The sequence below is a fragment of the Homo sapiens genome, chromosome 9 (assembly GCF_000001405.40).
Source record: "Homo sapiens chromosome 9, GRCh38.p14 Primary Assembly".
Lineage (NCBI taxonomy): Eukaryota > Metazoa > Chordata > Mammalia > Primates > Hominidae > Homo > Homo sapiens.
In genome coordinates, this window is record NC_000009.12 from 105,476,600 (window position 1) to 105,498,018 (window position 21,419).

Below are 21,419 nucleotides of genomic sequence, written 5' to 3' on the forward strand. Positions count from 1 at the left end.
AGCTTAGTTATATTACTTTACTCAACATCACTCTTTAGATCTTCTATTGAAATCCTTTCTGCCAATTTTGTAATTGACAAAAGTCACCGTTCTTGAAATAGAGGAATAGAAACTTAGAAGCTGTATAGTATTGTGTATCTTTTGGATACCTTTCTGTTTTGAGAGAATTCTAGAAAAAAAAATTATTTTCCAATTTAAGACATTTCTTGAAATTGGGCCCTTTCAAAGAAATATCTTCAGAATTTGAAACTCTGCCTTCTAATCATTGCTCAGAATAACTTCTTAAACCTCTCTTGCATTTATACAATATATATGCAGTAAAATTTGAACCTAAATGAAAGTGGAGCCATGGGAGTTTTCAGTTTTACTAGCTGGGTATATTCTATGTAAATGCATGGACAACAGTTTTTCCTAGATTATCTGGCTTTTCATTTATTCCTTTCCTGGTTTTTCACAAACAGCATGGTACATGAAGTGATACCATAAAAGCTTTGCATGCATGCATATGTGCACACACACACTAAAAATTTTTACCTTATTAAATTTAGTAACACTTGACACAAAATTGAATCATTGTGGTCAGTTTAAAAAACGGTAATCGTCTTCATATCATTGGGTTATGCAAGGGTGATTGGTAATATTTCTCTAAGTTTGAAACCAGTTAGGAAATAAGACAAAAAAAAACTGATAAGAGGCCAAATAATGATAAAAGCATATTGGAAAAGATGGCTTTTGTTATTGGGCAAGTTTCCCAATACTAAATACCTAGAATTAGACAGACAAATTCACCCAGGCATGATCAGCAGGGGCTGCCTCAGGTGATGGGCAGGGGGAGCCTCTTTCAGTGAAAGTTATGGTACAGAGGGAAAGAACAGAATATATGTTATCTGTGGGCAAGCAAGCTGTGAGAAAAAGCAGAAAGTCTAGTTTCTCCTTTCAAACCCATTATCAGATAAGTCATATCATTTTCCTAGGAGAAATAAGGGAATGGAGAGGCAAAGAGTAATCCTGGTAGTACTTGTTTCATATCAGGTACAGAGAAGAGTCCTTTCTTTCCTTCCTTTAACACTTACATTAAAATCTTTGTTTTGTAATTCCAGCTTTAATGATAGTAATTAAAAAATCAATTAAATTAACTTTTTAAACATTTTCTATCTCTGGTACTACAGTAGTTTCATGACTTAAGATACAGATTCCACAGAATTTGTTTGTTTGTGTAGCACGTGGGAATGATTTTCGGAAACATTAAGAAACAAAATTCCTTAGAAAAGAAATAGAATGATTAATATACAAGGTCTCAACTGATTAATAGTAATGCTGAGACTGTATAATATGCTGATCTCTTAAATCTCAGTTCTGTGTTGCCTGGGTGTGCTGGCTCATGCCTGTAATCCCAGCACTTTGGGAGGCTGAGGCAGGCGGATCACGAGGTCAGGAGATCAAGACTGTCTTGTCTAACATGGTGAAACCCCGTCTCTAATAAAAATACAAAAAAATTTGCCGGGCGTGGTGGCGGGTCCCTGTAGTCCCAGCTACTTGGGAGGCTGAGGCAGGAGAATGGCATGAACCCGGGAGGCAGAGCTTGCAGTGAGCCAAGATCGTGCCACTGCACTCCAGCCTGGGCGACAGAACAAGACTCTGTCTCAAAAAGAAAAAATCTGAGTTCTGTGTTTTTGAGTAGAAAGAGTCCTCAGACCAGAATGTTTTAGGGTGGATATAAAAATGACCAATAATGAATAGGAACAACGTTAGAACTGAAGAAGAGAGGCCACAGAAGCATTGCTACATATATCTAATTAACATTCAAATAAGTTTAATAATTATTAAGTATTACTATGTCCTAAGCATTTTTGCTAGGCACTGGGGATACAGTGTTGAGCAAAACAGCCTTGTCTATGTCTGATATATTGTTAACTGTACTGGTTACTGTGGAGAAAAAAACTTTTGTTGGATATATTGTATGTAAATATAAAAGGGACAACAGTTTTTACTTGTTTTTTATTATTTTGTGTGACCATGCAGCCCCAAGTAAATAGCTGAGTTCCCTTTCTAAACTTGTGCTTGCATAAAAAAAAAAGACAAAAGAGATACCTTATATATAGGTTTAAGTTGGTAGCATGTATGAAATCATCATGGAGAAAGACCCCATTGCTAGAAGTATTTCTCTGGTCTCTTTGTGTCTGAATTTCTGCCATTACAACTTTCTTTGGAGTAAAGGTTTATAGAATTGCAGCCTAGTTGTATTTGTTAGCAGGCAAACTCTGAGAATTCCTTGCCCTATAGAGGCATATAGAGAAAACTTGGAACAACGATTATGAAGTAGTGAAAGAGATCTCTGAAGAAAAATTAGAGAGTAAATTTGACATGTACAAGAAAACCATGAAGGAAGTTGTCCCATGAAGGAGATTGGTTGCTCTAGTTGATGAGTATCAGACTGAATGAAAGTGGAGGTGTGTTTTGATAATCTTAAGGTAAGAATAAAACATTTATAGTCACCTGGAATTTGTTCGAAGTGTTAAATTTTCCTCCTAAAAGGTGATTTTTGTGGGGTCTGGATTTTCTACTATAATTCTAACATCACATGAAAGCTTATGTGAACTATACACATAAATTTTCTATAGTTTGTGTTTTGGTGAATATGAACTAATCTGTTGCAGGGTTTATATCCTAACTTTTCTTGCATGTCACTGCCATTGAAACTTGCATGAAAAGCACTAACTTGCCTTCTTTCTCTTCTCCCTGATTGGCTCCAAGGCTGCCAGACAGATCAAGGATAGGTATGGTATAAAACACATTTTTACTTAAGTATAAATATTGAAGTCAGAAATGAAATTCAGAAATAGTTTTTTAATTAAAATTGTGTTAGTTAAGATAAAAGTACCCAATGACCAAGTACAAAATAAAATGTCCTCTGTGTATTTTCTTGGAATAACCATTGTATCAATAAAATTTTTTAAAAGCATAGTTGTGGATAATTATGTGCTTCAGAAGAATTTCATTTCTGGTGTAGAAATATAGTTAGTTTTAGTTTTAGAACAGTTCTTAATTAGTTGTACTAATGAAAAGGGAACTATTTTGAATAACTTAAAAATATATATTTCTGGAATGTGTTTTTTGTTGTTAAATTTAAATGTAAGTGGGTCTTATTTTCTTTGAACTCACTCATTTTAAGTAGTCCTCAAGAACTAAAGCGCTCCTATTTCACTGCCCTCCTGTTTAACACCTTGTATTCTCATTCCATCCTGTTCCTGGTGCCATCTCTTTCTATTTCTAATGCCACCACTATCTAGTTAATATTCTGTGGGAAGAGAAAATTAAAGAAAATTATTAAAGGTTTTGGTTTAAAAGTTCTTTCTTATTGGTAGAGCCAGGCTTAAGAAAAGGAATTTAGTACTTGTAATGAACATAGATTGCTAAAGGAGTTGCTGGCAACATTTGGATTGCATTAACACAGAAGGAACAGTTTGGATCTGCCTGTCTAGTCACTGAGTATTGTCTGTATTGAGATTATAGCAAGTTTTTTCATCTGAGGGTCATGAGATTCTCTGAAAGGCACAGCTCTTCAAAGTGCCACTCCAAATCCTAGATTAAATTATTCTTCATCAGATAATTCACAAAAATTTTCATTATAGATTATGTGAAAAACAGTGCCTCTATTGTTAATCTTGGCTGACAGTTTTACTTCTGGGTTTCTCTTTTTTTTTTTTTTTTGAGGCAGAGTCTTGCTCTAGCACCCAGGCTGGAGTGCAGTGGTGCGATCTTGTCACACTGCAACCTCTGCCTCATGGGCTCAAGTGATCCTCCACCTCATCCTCCTGAATAGGTGGGACTACAGGCATGTGCCACCACACCCAGCTAATTTTTGTATTTTTTGTAGAAACAGGGTCTTGCTATTTTGCCCAGGCTGGTCTGGAATGCCTAAGCTCAAGCTATCCGCCCAACTTGGCCTCCCAAAGTGCTGGGATTACAGGTGTGAGCCATTGTGCCTGGTCCTGTATTAATTTTTATATTTTTTGTATATTTTACATCAGGCAGTAGCTAAAGACATGGATCATTCTTATAAATCCTGGATCTAGAAAGATGATTGTGAAAGTTTGAAGGTGAAAAATATTAGCTGTGTGAGGAATGGATGCTAGATAGGTCAGTTTTGTGGATAAGGTAGATTTGGGTTGTGTCTGGAAATTGCTATGAGTCATCCATCTTCCTCCCTGGGTATATTATACTTACTGTTTAGCTACCTATCCCACTGCATCCTGCTCTAGTTCCTAATTTTCTGAATTAGAAGTTACTTCCTAATCATGACCTTGCAAAATCTGTCCTTTTTTCAAGATTCTATATGGCTCTTTGCATCACAGAATCTTGTCTGTATCCTTAAACTCTTTGTCTTTGCCCAGATTTGTTTATCAGAATTTAATTTCATGACCAATTTCAATGGCTGTATTCTTCACTGAAGCTTGGGTTTTTTGCGTCTTCTAAGCCAGCCTCTTGGCTTGATTTCATAAGTATCCAGGTGATCTCAGGAATTAGGGTTCAGGCAAACTCTGTGTGTGTGTGTGTGTGTGTGTGTGTGTGTGTGTGTGGTTCTTTTTTTTTTTTTTTTTTTTTGCTTGTTCAAACCCTATAGCATTTTTGTGATCCCCTGCAGAATTTTTACTTCCTGCCCGAGGAACATTTCTGATTCTCAACTTAATTTTTTTTTTTTTGAGACAGAGTCTTGCTCAGTTGCCCAGGCTGGAGTGCAGTGGTGCAATCTTGGCTCACTGCAGCCTCTGCCTCCCGGGTTCAAGCGATTCTCCTGCCTCAGCCTCCCAAGTAGCTGGGATTACAGGCACCTGCCACCACACCCAGCTAATTTGTGTGTGTGTGTGTTTTGTAGAGATGGGGTTTCACCATGTTGGCCAGGCTCGTCTCGAACCCCTGACCTCAAGTGATCTGCCCACTTCGGCCTCCCAAAGTGCTGGGATTACAGGTGTGAGCCACTGTGCCCGGCCCTTCAACTTAATTTTTAAAATTTGATGTTTAGCTTTATAATGTTCAGGTTTCTCTGATGTAGTTTTTGGTACTCGCCAAAAGTGAGCTTTTAGAATTCCATTATTGTCATTTAAAATATAAAAATAATTTAAACGTAGTCATAATAAAATAATTACTGTAGCTATTTTCACCAAGCAAAGAAAGGATTTTTTTTTTTTTTGGGTCAGGGTCTTGCTCCATCACCCAGGCTGGAGTGCAGTGGCACAATCACAGCTTACTGCAGCCTGGACCTCCCTGGCTTAAGGGGCCCTTCCACCTCTGCCGCCTGAGCAGCTGGGACTGCAGGCACGTGCCACCATGCCCCGTTAATTTTTTTGTATCTTTTGTAGAGATGGGGTTTCGCCATGTTGCCTAGGCTGGTCTCAAACTCCTGGGCTCAAGCTGTCCTCTCGCGTCAGCCTTCCGAAGTGCTGGGGTTACAGATATGAGCCACCATGTCCGCCCTAGGATTATCTTTTTATAAGGGCATAGATGGATTTTAAGGGAGAATGTGTAACATATCTGAGCAAGAAATCAAATATAAAAAATGAAAATGTCTGTGAAAACTCATCATTTATCATTTGCTATGGTAGAAGTTACACAGAGGAACAGCAGGATTAAGAGAGAAAACTCAAGATAGAAATAAGATAATAGCACATCTCTATAACTTTATAGAATTACTGGCATGTACTTCTGGGGACTTAATAATATTGGAATATGATTAGTTGAGGTATATTGCAGGAGTTATTGGTTCTTGAAAGAGAGGGGTTATGAAAGAGTCAAGTTAATTAGGTAGTTTGAGGAAATGAAAACTATGTTTTGTAGTTATTTTCTCTTTGCAAAAATCAGGAGCGAAGGATCCTTGAATTTACCTTGTGCTGGTAGAAATGAACTAAGAAAATCAAGGGGAATTAAAGCATACCTAGCCTTCTGGATCCTGTAGTGTAGAGAATTATCTAATGAATTTTAGATGTTTAGTTTGGGCTTTGAGGCACATGTCTAAATACATGAAGTTAAAAATTAAAGTTCAGTCTTCTGAAAGATTGTAGCATTGTTGCCCATCTAAATTGATTCATGGAAACTTAAGTTTTCATTGACTAAAAAATAAGAGTTGTTCTTGTTTTTTTTAAAGCTTTGATAAGCCTTTCTAATGCATTTATGGGGCATATTCTTTTTCTTTGATGTCATGGTGATTGAATCAAATCTTACAGGTTTAAGGTTTAAAATTCTCTAAAATACTTTCGGATTTTTTTTCTCAACATTTCTCAGTAAACATTTAAATATCTAGTCAGGTTTTGAATAAACCAAGTAGGTTCTAACCTATGCACTGATTCAGTGAGCATTTAGTAAGTACGTATCTGACTATAGCTCTTTCAGATGTCCTCGAATCAAAAGATACTTGGGGCTGTAAAGAATAACATATGTAGGACTTAGTATTTGTTCCTTTTTATTGAAATTGTATTATTTGAGAGACGGGTTAGTGTAGTATGCATGAAATACTCAGCATTATACTTGGCATATAGTAAGCAGTCAGTGTGAATTCCCTTTGCTGTAAATTATATTTCAGTATAGCACTTTCTTCTTGATAAACACATCAACTGTTGTTTACTCATTGTTACTATTAAATTATTACTAGTTTTAAAATGAAGTAAAATAACTAAATACAGAAATAGCTTGACATTTTTCATCCTAAAATAAGTGAATATAGCAAGTTTGACATCTTTCATTTCATTGACTTCTTGGGTAGATTTGGCAGATCCAATTGATTTGGCAGATACAATTGACTAGGCCTAGTATTCCCCTTGTCCCACCAGCTCTGTTTCCTTCCCCTTCCAAATTGTGTACTAGGAGGACAGTGTTCACCTGTAGTACTTCTGATCATTCTTGAACCAAAGATAGTAAGGGGCTTACTTTGTGATACTTGTGGAAATTTATTGGAATATGAAAAATTGAAATTTGAGATAAAATTAAAAATTAATAGAATAAGAGGATTTCTTTTAATCTTCAGTTTTAATGGACTACAGATTCTCTGTACTTTGGATAAAGTGGCTTCATTCTTTTTTTGTTTTTCCCTCCACATTCATCTAGTAAATGTTTATTGAATTCCTGTTACTTCCATGGCATATACTTTTTCACAGGGCTGTTTCTTACAGTAGGCTTCCCTATAGCTGATGTTGATAGATCAGAGTGACACCTAGTGTGGTATTCATTGATAGTGATTTCACTTCTCTCTTTTCTTATCCATGGCCTATCTTTAGCAACTACCAAACTATACAATATTAGGTCAATCTACCTCTACTCTTATTTGAGGGTACATGGGATAGCTCTTATTACTAGGGAGAATATTTGAATCAAGGTGTGATTCAAATGAATATAAATGAATTTAAGTTCATTATCTGGCATATGAAAAGGAGTAAGGCTGGCATCAGGAAGTCAGTAAGATTGAGTGTACAGAGGTTCAGATGAATGTTGAGTCTGGTAAGGATTATTTTTATTGGATATTTGTTGTTATTCATATATATGCAATTTAATAAAAATTGGCTGGGAGGAAAGTTGCTAACCAGTTGTCTTAAATGTCTTTAAAAAGACATTTTGTAGTTTTTTATTTAGTTAATTTTGAAGACTAAGATTAAATTTCTATTTCACTTTTAACTTTTATTATAGTCTCTGAAATTATTAGTGATATAATTTGTCTTTTCATTTTATAAATTAAATATGATTTGATACTTCCTATTTCTTTATTTTAAAAAGTATGTTTGTGTTTACCGTAGAGTCACAATGGCTTCAGCCTTTCGCCTTTCTTTGAAACCAAAGGTCAGTGACAACATGACTCATTTAATGGTGGATTTCTCACAGGAAAGACAGATGCTGCAAACTTTGAAGTTTTTGCCAGGTAAATACATGTATTACATGTAAAGTTTTGTATAAAACTTTTTTTTTTCTACAAGATTTTTTTGCAGTGAACATTGGTTTGTAAATATTAAGGAAGTATAGTGTGATTTTTTTTTCATTCAGCTAAGGAATAATTAAATTTGCTAGTTTTTTTTTATTTTTAGAGATTTTATTGGTAGTAAAAATTGCATTTTCAGAATCCTATCAAGGGATCTCTTATTGTTAGCTTGGCAGAGGGAAGCAGTATGGTGTGATGGTTAGCAGTGGGTCTCAAGGCCAGACTTCTTAGGTTTGAATCCTATTGCTTACTTGCTATGTAATCTTGAACAATTTACTTAACTTGCTTCATTTTTAACATCTTTAAAATGCGATGTTATTCTTCTAGGGTGTTTATAAGGATTAAATAAATTGATACCTCTAAAATATTTATAATAGTACCTGCACATAGTTAAAATTCAGTGAATGTTAGGTGTTATCATTATTATTATTGTGGTTGTTGGCTCAGATGGAACTTTATCTTCAGTAATATGTTAACATTATTTTATTAAAGTATTAACATGAGGATATTGCAGTAGCCAAAACCATTTGTGATTGAGTCCTAAATTATTCACATATGTAAAAGAGCCAATTAAGAACCAATCTTAGTCTGTTTTGTGTTGCCATAACAGAAGGCCTGAGACTGGGTAATTTATATAAAGAAAAGAGGTTCTCTAGGCTGAGAAGTTCAAGACTGGGCAGCAATATCTGGCAGCTTCTGGTGATAGCCTCATGCTATGTCAAAACATGATGGAGCATAGAAGGGGAACCAGACACATGCAAAAAAGGCAAAACAAGAGAGTTAACCTCACTTTGTAAGAACCTTCTTTCACAAGAACTAACCCAGTCTTTTGAGAAAGACATTAATCCATTGTAATGACCTAATCACCTCTTAAAGGCACCACTTCCCAACACTGCCATATTGGTGACCAAACTTCAACATGAGTTTGCTGGGGACAAGTCAGGAATATGACTTAACAACCTTTTGGTTAGGTGTTTTTTTTTTTTTTTTTTTTTTTGCATCATGTTGCTGATAACTAAAACTATTTAGATATGGTGATTTGAGGGATCAAGGAATTTCTTGAAAGTGACATGTTTTCCTTACAAGTACTTTTTTTTTTTTTGAGACGGAGTCTTGCTCTGTCACCCAGGCTGGACTGCAGTGGCACGATCTCGGCTCACTGCAAGCTCTGCCTCCTGGGTTTGCGCCATTCTCCTGCCTCAGCCTCCCAAGTAGCTGGGACTACAGGCAGCCGTCACCAAGCCTGGCTAATTTTCTGTATTTTTAGTAGAGACGGGGTTTCACCATGTTAGCCTGGATGGTTTCGATCTCCTGACCTCGTGATCCGCCCGCCTCGGCCTCCCAAAGTGCTGGGATTACAGGCGTGAGCACAAGTACTTTTTTTTTTGGAGTCTGTTTTTGAATAGAGAATGTTGATTATATGGAACCATTCCTTTTTTCCTTGAATATATGGTCAGTGACTTTAAAATACGATTGGAAAAACAAGTTAGTAGTTCTCACACTGTAATGGAACCTAGGAAGGGGGTAGCACAAGTGAAATACTAATTTGTGTGATATAGATTAGAAGCTCTAGAGGAGTTCATAAAATGAAAAGATGAGAGAAGGAACTGTAGTTGTAGAGGAAGAAAGTGTACTTGTCATTGGCTGTTTACCTAAACATTGGCCTTTCAGAATTTCTATATTTTCATTCACAGGGCTCTACTTAAGAGTAAAACTGATATTAAAGCAGGAATAAATATTTTTAAAAGTTTTATTTTGATTACCGTATAATTTAAAATGGTTTGTTCTTTTCAATCTGACATGTAGAATTTCATTGGTAAGAAGCTGGATTTTATTTTAGTTTTGAAAATTTGAGGTGGCACAGGTTACCAGTTAACTGATGTTTTACTTTTAAGTAGAACACTTTCATGTTCACTCTTGGGAGATAGGGACTTAAATTTCAGACTGGGGAATATATCTCCAAATGTGAACTTTCTTACTTAAGAAAGGAAAATAGGAAATATGTTTAGAAGTCACATTAACCATATGTCTCTACTTACCACCAGTATGACCCTAAAACTTCAGAATTTCACCCTTCTTCATATAGCTATCAGATGTAGAACATTCCTAATATAATTTCCATCTGAGTGGAGAGCAAAGAAAAATTTCAGCAACTTAGAGAGGAAAGTTGTCCTTTCCTGCTTATCTGTTTACATATTAAAGTTACTTTAGTATTTTTGTTGGAAAAAAATATATGCATGTGGTAAACAGTTAAAGTAGTACAAAAGAGTATAAAGTAGCCCTCTCATCTCAGACTTCCAATTTTCTTCCCTAGGAGCTACCAACATTAACTAGCATGTGCTTATCTTTCTAGAAACAGTCTATGCCTGTAAAAGTGTCATCATATAGACAGAATCATGTAATTGGTAATTTTTGGCGATATCATGTGATTAAACCTAACATATAATTCACCTCCTTTAAAAAGATGGAAGCATATAGTACAGCAAGAACTCAAAAAAAGGAAGCATACATATACATTGTTATATAATTTTGCTTTGCCACTTAACAGTATGTAGGAGTTCATTCCAGATCACTGTACATCACTTTATTTTTTTTCATGACTAGATAGTATGAATGTAATTAGTTCTTGATGAGTATTTAGGTTTATAGTCTTTTCATTAGAAACAATGCTGAAATGATCAAATACTTGTATATATTTGCAGAGAGGTGCCACTATCTCTTGAGGACAAATTCCTGGAAGTGGAAGTACATTTTTATTTTAAATTTGGGTAGATTTTAAGTTGTCAAAGAGATTTCACAGTTTATATGTACTGGAAAATATTTGAATGCCTGTATTGTTATACTGCTGCAAACACTGCTGTCAGGTTTTTTTTTTTTCCTATTCTAATAGGTGACAAATGTGTTATGATTGTTTTAATTTTCATTTCTTTAAGTATGAATGAGTTTGTGCTTTTGTCATATTTTCATAAGCCACTTTAAAAATGAGCTCCCTATTTATGAATTTTGTCAAATTTTCATGGGATTGTTAGTCTTTTTATTAATGATATGTAGGGTAGGACCTTTTAATGTATTAAGGAAGTCAACCTTTGTCCTATGTGGTGTATATCCTTGCTCACCTTGATCATTTGCCTGTTGAATTTATGGTGATTTTTTTTCCTAGCAAAATTTTTAATTTTAGTGCAGTCAAATACATCACAATTTTCTTTTGTGACTCTTAGATTTTATAAAGGTCTTACTTAGAAAGACTTCACTATTGCAAGATTGTAAAAATACACATATTTTCTTACATTTGTAGCTTTTTAAAAATAAACTGTAGTTTTAGAGCAGTTTTAAGTTTACAGTAAAGTTGAATGAAAGGTATGGAGATTTCTCATATACCTTCACACATGCATAGCCTTCTTCACTATCAATGTCTCCCACCAGAGTGGTATATTTATTACAATTGATGAACCTACACTGACACATCATTATCACTGAAAAGTCTATAGTTTACATTGGGGGTTCCCTCCTGGTATTGTACATTTTATGGGTTTGGGCAGATGTATACTGGCATGTATCTGCCATTGTATTACCATACGGAGTATTTTCACTGCCCGAAAAATCCGCTGTGCCCCATATTTTCATCGTTCCTTACTCCCAGTCAATGGCAACCACTGATCTATTTACTCTCTCCATAGTTTTGCCTTTTCCAGAATCTTGTATAGTTGGAATCATATAGTAAGTAGCCTTTTCACATTGCTTTCTTTTACTTAGTAATATGCATTTAAGTTTCCTCCATGTATATTGATGACCTGATAGCTCATTTCTTTTTAGTATGGAATAATAGTCCATTGTCTAGATGCGCCATGGTTTATTCATTTATACACTGAAACACATGTTGATTACTTCCAACTTTGGGCAGTTATGAATAAGGCTACTATAAACATCTGTATGCACATTTTTGTGTAGACATAAGTTTTCAACTCCTTTGGATAAATGCCGATTACTGAATAGTATGGTAAAAGTGTGTTAAATTTTATAGAAGACTACCAAACTGTCTTCCTAAGTGTCTGTATGATTTTGCATTCCCACAAGCAATGAATAGAGTTCTGTTGCTTCACATTTTCACCAATTGGTGGTATTGTGGTATTTTATTGTTTTTTAAAATTTCAATTTCCCTAATGACATATTATGTGAAGGATCTTTTTATATACTTACTGTCTGTATGTCTTTTTTGGTGAGATGTCTGTAAGGTCTTTGGCCTATTTTTTTTACATTGGGTTTTTTTTTTTTTTTTGGTACTACTTATGTTTTTATTAAGGCATGATATAAAGTTGGAAATCAAGTTCTTCATAAGTACTGATACTGCTAACACAAACCGTGAGGTGATGGCAAATATTATACTATGAATTACTCATCATTTTATTCTAAACCTTCTTACAGCCAGAGAAATTTACAATTCCACATGTACAATTTTTTTAAGTTATAATTGTTATCTGTCAATTGAGAAAAGCATTAAGATTAAGATGACAATGACTATATCAGCTGACTATTATAAATAGACTCTCAGAAACTAAGGAAAATGTGTTTACTGACATAGATGTAGAGTATTCATAATCTTAAAACTGGCTGAAATGCACCAGGTATACAAATATAGCCAATCCTCCCACCTATTAGGTAAAATGCATGGTGAAGCCTACATATGCCTTTTTTGGGGCCCACTGATCTACGATAAGAAACTTTTGTAAATATTGCTTTGGAGTTCTGAGTAAAAATTTCTAATCACTGTTTGTGACAAGGTCTTTGTATGTAGAGTTAATTACTGAAACAGCATGCATATCTCAAATAATACAAATTATATTTAAAGAAATGTTTGGAAGAGCTAAAAATAAACAAAAGAAAGCAAAATAAAATAGTCTGTAAATTCACCTCAGCCTGCTGAATTCTTTGCAGTTTTATGTTTTTTTATTTTATTATTATTATACTTCTAAGTTTTAGGGTACATTTGTACAATGTGCAGGTTAGTTACATATGTATACATGTGCCATGCTGGTGTGCTGCACACATTAACTCGTCATTTAGCATTAGGTATATCTCCTAAAGCTATCCCTCCCCACTCCCCTCACCCCACAACAGTCCCCAGAGTGTGATGTTCCCCTTCATGTGTCCATGTGTTCTCATTGTTCAATTCCCACCTATGAGTGAGAATATGCGGTGTTAGGTTTTTTGTTCTTGTGATAGTTTACTGAGAATGATGATTTCCAGTTTCATCCACGTCCCTACAAAGGACATGAACTCATCATTTTTATGGCTGCGTAGTATTCCATGGTGTATATGTGCTACGTTTTCTTAATCCAGTCTATCATTGTTGGACATTTGGGTTGGTTCCAAGTCTTTGCTATTGTGAATAGTGCTGCAATAAACATACGTGTGCATGTGTCTTTATAGCAGCATGATTTATAGTCCTTTGGGTATATACCCAGTAATGGGATGGCTGGGTCAAATGGTATTTCTAGTTCTAGATCCCTGAGGAATCACCACACTGACTTCCACAAGGGATGAACTAGTTTACAGTCCCACCAACAGTGTAAAAGCGTTCCTATTTCTCCACATCCTCTCCAGCACCTGTTGTTTCCTGACTTTTTAATGATTGCCATTCTAACTGGTGTGAGATGGTATCTCATTGTGGTTTTGATTTACATTTCTCTGATGGCCAGTGATGGTGAGCATTTTTTCATGTGTCTGTTGGCTGCATAAATGTCTTCTTTTGAGAAGTGTCTGTTCATGTCCTTCGCCCACTTTTTGATGGAGTTGTTTGTTTTTTTCTTGTAAATTTGTTTGAGTTCATTGTAGATTCTGGATACCTGCCCTTTGTCAGATGAGTAGGTTGCGAATATTTTCTCCCATTTTGTAGGTTGCCTGTTCACTCTGATGGTAGTTTCTTTTGCTGTGCAGAAGCTCTTTAGTTTAATTAGATCCCAGTTGTCAATTTTGGCTTTTGTTGCCATTGCTTTTGGTGTTTTAGACATGAAGTCCTTGCCCATGCCTATGTCCTGAATGGTAATGCCTAGGTTTTCTTCTAGGGTTTTTATGGTTTTAGGTCTAACGTTTAAGTCTTTAATCCATCTTGAATTGATTTTTGTATAAGGTGTAAGGAAGGGATCCAGTTTCAGCTTTCTACATATGGCTAGCCAGTTTTCCCAGCACCATTTATTAAATAGGGAATCCTTTCCCCATTTCTTGTTTTTCTCAGGTTTGTCAAAGATCAGATAGTTGTAGATATGCAGCGTTATTTCTGAGGGCTCTGTTCTGTTCCATTGATCTATATCTCTGTTTTGGTACCAGTACCATGCTGTTTTGGTTACTGTAGCCTTGTAGTATAGTTTGAAGTCAGGTAGCGTGATGCCTCCAGCTTTGTTCTTTTGGCTTAGGATTGACTTGGCGATGTGGGCTCTTTTTTGGTTCCATATGAACTTTAAAGTAGTTTTTTCGAATTCTGTGAAGAAAGTCATTGGTAGCTTGATGGGGATGGCATTAAACCTGTAAATTACCTTGGGCAGTATGGCCATTTTCATGATATTGATTCTTCCTACCCATGAGCATGGAATGTTCTTCCATTTGTTTGTATCCTCTTTTATTTCATTGAGCAGTGATTTGTAGTTCTCCTTGAAGAGGTCCTTCACATCCCTTGTAAGTTGGATTTCTAGGTATTTTATTCTCTTTGAAGCAATTGTGAATGGGAGTTCACTCATGATTTGGCTCTCTGTTGTTGGTGTATAAGAATGCTTGTGATTTTTGTACATTGATTTTGTATCCTGAGACTTTGCTGAAGGTGCTTATCAGCTTAAGGAGATTTTGGGCTGAGACAATGGGGTTTCCTAGATATACAATCATGTCGTCTGCAAACAGGGACAATTTGACTTCCTCTTTTCCTAACTGAATACCCTTTATTTCCTTCTCCTGCCCAATTGCCCTGATCAGAACTTCCAACACTATGTTGAATAGGAGTGGTGAGAGAGGGCATCCCTGTCTTGTGCCAGTTTTCAAAGGGAATGCTTCCAGTTTTTGCCCATTCAGTATGATATTGGCTGTGGGTTTGTCATAGATAGCTCTTATTATTTTGAGATACGTCCCATCAATACCTAATTTATTGAGAGTTTTTAGCATGAAGGGTTGTTGAATTTTGTCAAAGGCCTTTTCTGCATCTATTGAGATAATCATGTGGTTTTTGTCTTTGGTTCTGTTTGTATGCTGGATTACATTTATTGATTTGCGTATATTGAACCAGCCTTGCATCCCAGGGATGAAGCCCACTTGATCATGGTGGATAAGCTTTTTGATGTGCTGCTGGATTCGGTTTGCCATTATCTTATTGAGGATTTTTGCATCAATGTTCATCAAGGATATTGGTCTAAAATTCTCTTTTTTGGTTGTGTCTCTGCCCGGCTTTGGTATCAGGATGATGCTGGCCTCGTAAAATGAGTTAGGGAGGATTCCTTCTTTTTTATTGATTGGAATAGTTTCAGAAGGAATGGTACCAGTTCCTCCTTGTACCTCTGGTAGAATTCGGCTGTGAATCCATCTGGTCCTGGACTCTTTTTGGTTGGTAAGCTATTGATTATTGCCTCAATTTCAGAGCCTGTTATTGGTCTATTCAGAGAATCAACTTCTTCCTGGTTTAGTCTTGGGAGGGTGTATGTGTCGAGGAATTTATCCATTTCTTCTATATTTTCCAGTTTATTTGCGTAGAGGTGTTTGTAGTATTCTCTGATGGTAGTTTGTATTTCTGTGGCATCAGTGGTGAGATCCCCTTTATCATTTTTTATTGTGTCTATTTGATTCTTCTCTCTTTTCTTCTTTATTAGTCTTGCTAGGAGTCTATCAATTTTGTTCATCCTTTCAAAAAACCAGGTCCTGGATTCATTAATTTTTTGAAGGGTTTTTTTGTGTCTCTATTTCCTTCAGTTCTGCTTTGATTTTAGTTATTTCTTGCCTTCTGGTAGCTTTTGAATGTGTTTGCTCTTGCTTTTCTAGTTCTTTTAATTGTGATGTTAGGGTGTGAATTTTGGATCTTTTCTGCTTTCTCTTGTGGGCATTTAGTGTTATAAATTTCCCTCTACACACTGCTTTGAATGTGTCCCAGAGATTCTGGTATGTTTTGTCTTTGTTCTCATTGGTTTCAAAGAACATCTTTATTTCTGCCGTCATTTTGTTATGTACCCAGTAGTCATTCAGGAGCAGGTTGTTCAGTTTCCATGTAGTTGAATGGTTTTGAGTGAGTTTCTTAATCCTGAATTCTAGTTTGATTGCACTGTGGTCTGAGAGACAGTTTGTTATAATTTCTGATATTTTACATTTGCTGAGGAGAGCTTTACTTCCAAGTATGTGGTCAATTTTGGAATAGGTGTGGTGTGGTGCTGAAAAAAATGTATATTCTGTTGATTTGGGGTGGAGAGTTCTGTAGATGTCTATTAGGTCCACTTGGTGCAGAGCTGAGTTGAATTCCTGGATATCCTTGTTAACTTTCTGTCTCGTTGATCTGTCTAATGTTGACAGTGGGGTTTTAAAGTCTCCCATTATTATTGTGTGGGAGTCTAAGTCTCTTTGTAGGTCACTCAGGACTTGCTTTATGAATCTGGGTGCTCCTGTATTGGGTGCATATATATTTAGGCTAGTTAGCTCTTCTTGTTGAATTGATCCCTTTACCATTATGTAATGGCCTTCTTTGTCTCTTTTGATCTTTGTTGGTTTAAAGTCTGTTTTATCAGAAACTAGGATTGCAACCCCTGCCTTTTTTAGTTTTCCATTTGCTTGGTACATCTTCCTCCATCCTTTTATTTTGAGCCTATGTGTGTCTCTGCACGTGAGATGGGTTTCCTGAATACAGCACACTGATGGGTCTTGACTCTTTATCCAATTTGCCAGTCTGTGTCTTTTAATTGGAGCATTTAGTCCATTTACATTTAAGGTTAATATTGTTATGTGTGAATTTGATCCTGTCATTATGATGTTAGCTGGTGATTTTGCTCGTTAGTTGATGCAGTTTCTTCCTAGCCTCGATGGTCTTTACAATTTGGCCTGATTTTGCAGTGGCTGGTACTGGTTTTTCCTTTCCATGTTTACTGCTTCCTTCAGGAGCTCTTTTAGGGCAGGCCTGGTGGTGACAAAATCTCTCAGCATTTGCTTGTCTGTAAAGTATTTTATTTCTCCTTCACTTATGAAGCTTAGTTTGGCTGGATATGAAATTCTGGGTTGAAAATTCTTTTCTTTAAGAATGTTGAATATTGGCCCCCACTCTCTTCTGGTTTGTAGAGTTTCTGCCGAGAGATCCGCTGTTAGTCTGATGGGCTTCCCTTTGTGGATAACCCGACCTTTCTCTCTGGCTGCCCTTAACATTTTTTCCTTCATTTCAACCTTGGTGAATCTGACAATTATGTGTCTTGGAGTTGCTCTTCTTGAGGAGTATCTTTGTGTCATTCTCTGTATTTCCTTAATCTGAATGTTGGCCTGCCTTGCTAGATTGAGGAAGTTCTCCTGGATAATATCCTGCAGAGTGTTTTCCAACTTGGTTCCATTCTCCCCGTCACTTTCAGGTACACCAATCAGACATAGATTTGGTCTTTTCACATAGTCCCATATTTCTTGGAGGCTTTGTTCATTTCTTTTTATTCTTTTTTCTCTAAACTTCCCTTCTCGCTTCATTTCATTCATTTCATCTTCCATTGCTGATACCCTTTCTTCCAGTTGATTGCATCGGCTCCTGAGGCTTCTGCATTCTTCACGTAGTTCTCGAGCCTTGGCTTTCAGCTCCATCAGCTCCTTTAAGCACTTCTCTGTATTGGTTATTCTAGTTATACATTCGTCTAAATTTTTTTCAAAGTTTTCAACTTCTTTGCCTTTGGTTTGAATTTCCTCCTGTAGCTTGGAGTAGTTTGATCGTCTGAGGCCTTCTTCTCTCAACTCGTCAAAGTCATTCTCCATTCAGCTTTGCTCCATTTCTGGTGAGGAGCTGCGTTCCTTTGGAGGAGGAGAGGCGCTCTGGTTTTTAGAGTTTCCAGTTTTTCTGTTCTGTTTTTTCCCCATCTTTGTGGTTTTATCTACTTTTGGTCTTTGATGATGGTGATGTACAGATGGGTTTTTGGCGTGGATGTCCTTTCTGCTTGTTAGTTTTCCTTCTAACAGACAGGACCTCAGCTGCAGGTCTTTTGAAGTTTGCTAGAGGTGCACTCCAGACCCTGTTTGCCTGGGTACCAGCAGCGGTGGCTGCAGAACAGTGGATTTTCGTGAACCGCAAATGCTGCTGTCTTATCGTTCCCCTGGAAGTTTTGTCTCAGAGGAGTACCCGGCCGTGTGAGGTGTCAGTCTGCCCCTATGGAGGGGGTGCCTCCCAGTTAGGCTGCTCGGGGGTCAGGGGTCACGGACCCACTTGAGGAGGCTGTCTGCCTGTTCTCAGATCTCCAGCTGCATGCTGGGAGAGCCACTGCTCTCTTCAAAGCTGTCAGGGACATTGAAGTCTGCAGAGGTTACTGCTGTCTTTTTGTTCGTCTGTGCCCTGCCCCCAGAGGTGGAGCCTACAGAGGCAGGCAGGCCTCCTTGAGCTGTGGTGGGCTCCACCCAGTTTGAGCTTCCCGGCTGCTTTGTTGACCTAAGCAAGCCTGGGCAATGGCGGGTGCCCCTCCCCTAGCCTCGCTGCCACCTTGCAGTTTGATCTCAGACTGCTGTGCTAGCAATCAGCGAGACTCCGTGGGTGTAGGACCCTCGGAGCCAGGTGCGGGATATAATCTCCTGGTGCGCTGTTTTTAAAGCCCGTCGGAAAAGTGCAGTATTGGGGTGGGAATGACCTGATTTTCCAGGTGCCGTCTGTCACCCCTTTCTTTGACTAGGATAGGGAACTCCCTGACCCCTTGCTCTTCCCGAGTGAGGCAATGCCTCGCCCTGCTTCGGCTCGTGCAGGGTGCGCTGCACCCACTGTCCTGCGCCCACTGTCTGGCACTCCCTAGTGAGATGAACCCGGTACCTCAGATGGAAATGCAGAAATCACCTGTCTTCTGCGTAGCTCACGCTGGGAGCTGTAGACCGGAGCTGTTCCTATTCGGCCATCTTGGCTCCAGCTCGGGTTGTTTCTTTTCTTATTGTTGAATATTAAGAGTTCTTTGGGCCGGGCGCGGTGGCTCACGCCTGTAACCCCAGCATTTTGGGAGCCCGAGGCGGGCAGATCACAAGGTCAGGAGATCGAGACCATCCTGGCTAACATGGTGAAACCTCCTCTGTACTAAAAATACAAAAATTAGCTGGGCGTAGTGATGGGCGCATGTAGTCCCAGCTCCTCGGGAGGCTGAGGCAGAATGGCATGAACCCGGGAGGCGGAGCTTGCAGTGAGCCGAGATTGCACCACTGCACTGCAGCCTGGCAGCAGAGTGAGACTCCATCTAAAAAAAAAAAAAAAAGAAAAGGAATTCTGTGTAGTCCTTATCAGATGTTTCTTTTGCAAATATTGTCTCCCTGTCTGGCTTTTTTTCCCCTTGACGATGTCTTTTACAGAGCAAGATTTTTAATTCTAATAATGTTTAGCCTATCTTACTGTTTCTTTCATGAAGCTTGCCTTTGGTTCCTTTGATCTATTTGTCTCTTCTTTCACCAGTACCAGGTCTTGATGACTGTAGCTTTTTTTTTTTTTTTTTTTGTGTCGGAATCTCGCTGTGTCGCCCAGGCTGGAGTGCAGTGGCACAATCTCTCTGCTCACTGCAAGCTCCGCCTCCCGTACTATGTCTGAGAGTTGACTAGTTTCAGTCTTCCAACTTTGATCTTCTTTTTCAATACTGTGTTGCCTTTATCTGGATCCTTTGCCTTTCCATATAAACTTTAGAGTCATCTTATTGATATCCACAAAATAGCTTACTGGGATTATGATTGGGATTGCAATCAATCTGTAGGTCAAATTGGGAAGAACTGACATCTTAAGAACATTGAGTATTTCTATCCATAAACATTGGAATGTCTCTACATTGATTTAGTTCTTTGATTTCTTTCATTAGAGTTTTGTAGTTTTCCTCATATAAACATGGAACATATTTTGTTAGATTTGTATCAAAAGATTTCATTTTGGGGGTGCTGATGTAAATGGTATTGTGTTTTAATTTCAAATTTCACTTGTTCATTTCTGGTATACAGGAAAGTGGTAGGCCTTGTATCCTGCAGCCTTGCTGCAATCACTTACTAGTTTCAGGAGTTTTTTGTTGATTCTTTTGGATTTTCTACCTAGATGATCATGTTGTTTGTTAACAAAGACAGTTTTATTTCTTTCTTCCCAACCTGAATACCTTGTATTGTCGTACTGCATTACCTAGGACTTCCAGTACTATGTTGGAAGCAGTAGAAAGAGGGGGATCCTTGCCTTGTTCCTGAACTTAGTGGAAACATTTTGAGTTTCTCTCCATTAAGTATGGTGTTAGCTGTAATTTTTTTTGTAGCTATTTCTTAACAAGTTGAGTTGAGGAAGTTCCTTTCTGTTCCTATTTCACTGAGAGTTTTTATTTTGAATGAGTGTTGGAATTTGTGAAATGCATTTTTTGGCATCTATTTTTATGATTGTGAGATTTTTCTTTTTAAGCCTGTTGATGTGATGGGTTACATTGATTTTTCAAATGTCGAACCAGCCTGCATACTTGGAATAAATACCAGTTGGTCAAGGGTATAATTCTTTTTGTTAATTGTTGGATTTGATTTGCTATATTTTGTTGAGGATTTTTCACATCTAATTTATGAGACATACTGGTTTGTAGTTTTCTTTTGGAGTAATATCTTTGTCAGTTTTGGTATTAGGGTAATGCTGGCCTCATAGAAAGAGTTAGGAAGTATTCTCTCTATTTTTCTCTTCTGCAAGAGATTGTAGAGAGTTAGTGTACTTTTGTCCTGAAAAGTATGGTAGAATTCACCAGTGAACACTTTTGTGCCTGGTGCTTTCTGTTTTGGAAAGTTATTAGTATCGATTCAATTTTTAAAATAGATAGAGGCCTATTCAGATTGTCTGTTTTCCTTGTGGGTTTTGGCAGATTGTGTCTGTCATAGAATTGGTCCTTTTGGGTTATCAAATTTGTGGACATAGAGTTATTCACAGAATTCCTTGATTAGCTTTTTAATGTCCATGGGATCTTTGTTGATGCCCCCTCTTTCATTTTTGATACTAGTTATTTGATACTAGTTATTTATTGATTCCATTGATCTGTCAAAGAACCAGGTTTTGCTTTCAGGATTTTTTTCCATTGATTTCCCTCTTTTCAGTTTCATTGATTTCTGTTCTTGTTTTTTGTTTGTTTGTTTTTAGAGATAGAGTCTTGCTCAGTTGCCCAGTCTGGAATGTAGTTATATAATCATAGCTCACTGCAGCCTTGAACTCCTGGGCTCAAGGGATCTTCCTGCCACAGCCTTCTCAGTAGTTAGGACTACAGGCATGTGCTACCATGCCCAGCTAATTTAAATC

The 21,419-nt window shown here is 37.3% G+C and overlaps 1 protein-coding gene across 15 annotated transcripts in view; it reads left to right on the top strand.

Moving 5' to 3' along the window:
* Positions 1-21,419, top strand: part of FSD1L (fibronectin type III and SPRY domain containing 1 like) — a 110,257-nt gene that overhangs the window by 34,423 nt on the left and 54,415 nt on the right. For 13 of the 15 annotated variants that reach the window (XM_017015185.2, XM_011519079.3, XM_011519078.3 and 10 more), the window contains 2 exons: positions 2,755-2,777; positions 7,782-7,903. In XM_017015185.2, coding sequence (XP_016870674.1) covers positions 2,755-2,777; positions 7,782-7,903 — 145 coding nt within the window. The remainder of the gene's footprint in view (positions 1-2,754; positions 2,778-7,781; positions 7,904-21,419) is intronic. The other 2 variants (XM_017015184.2, XM_047423948.1) reach the window with 1 other exon arrangement.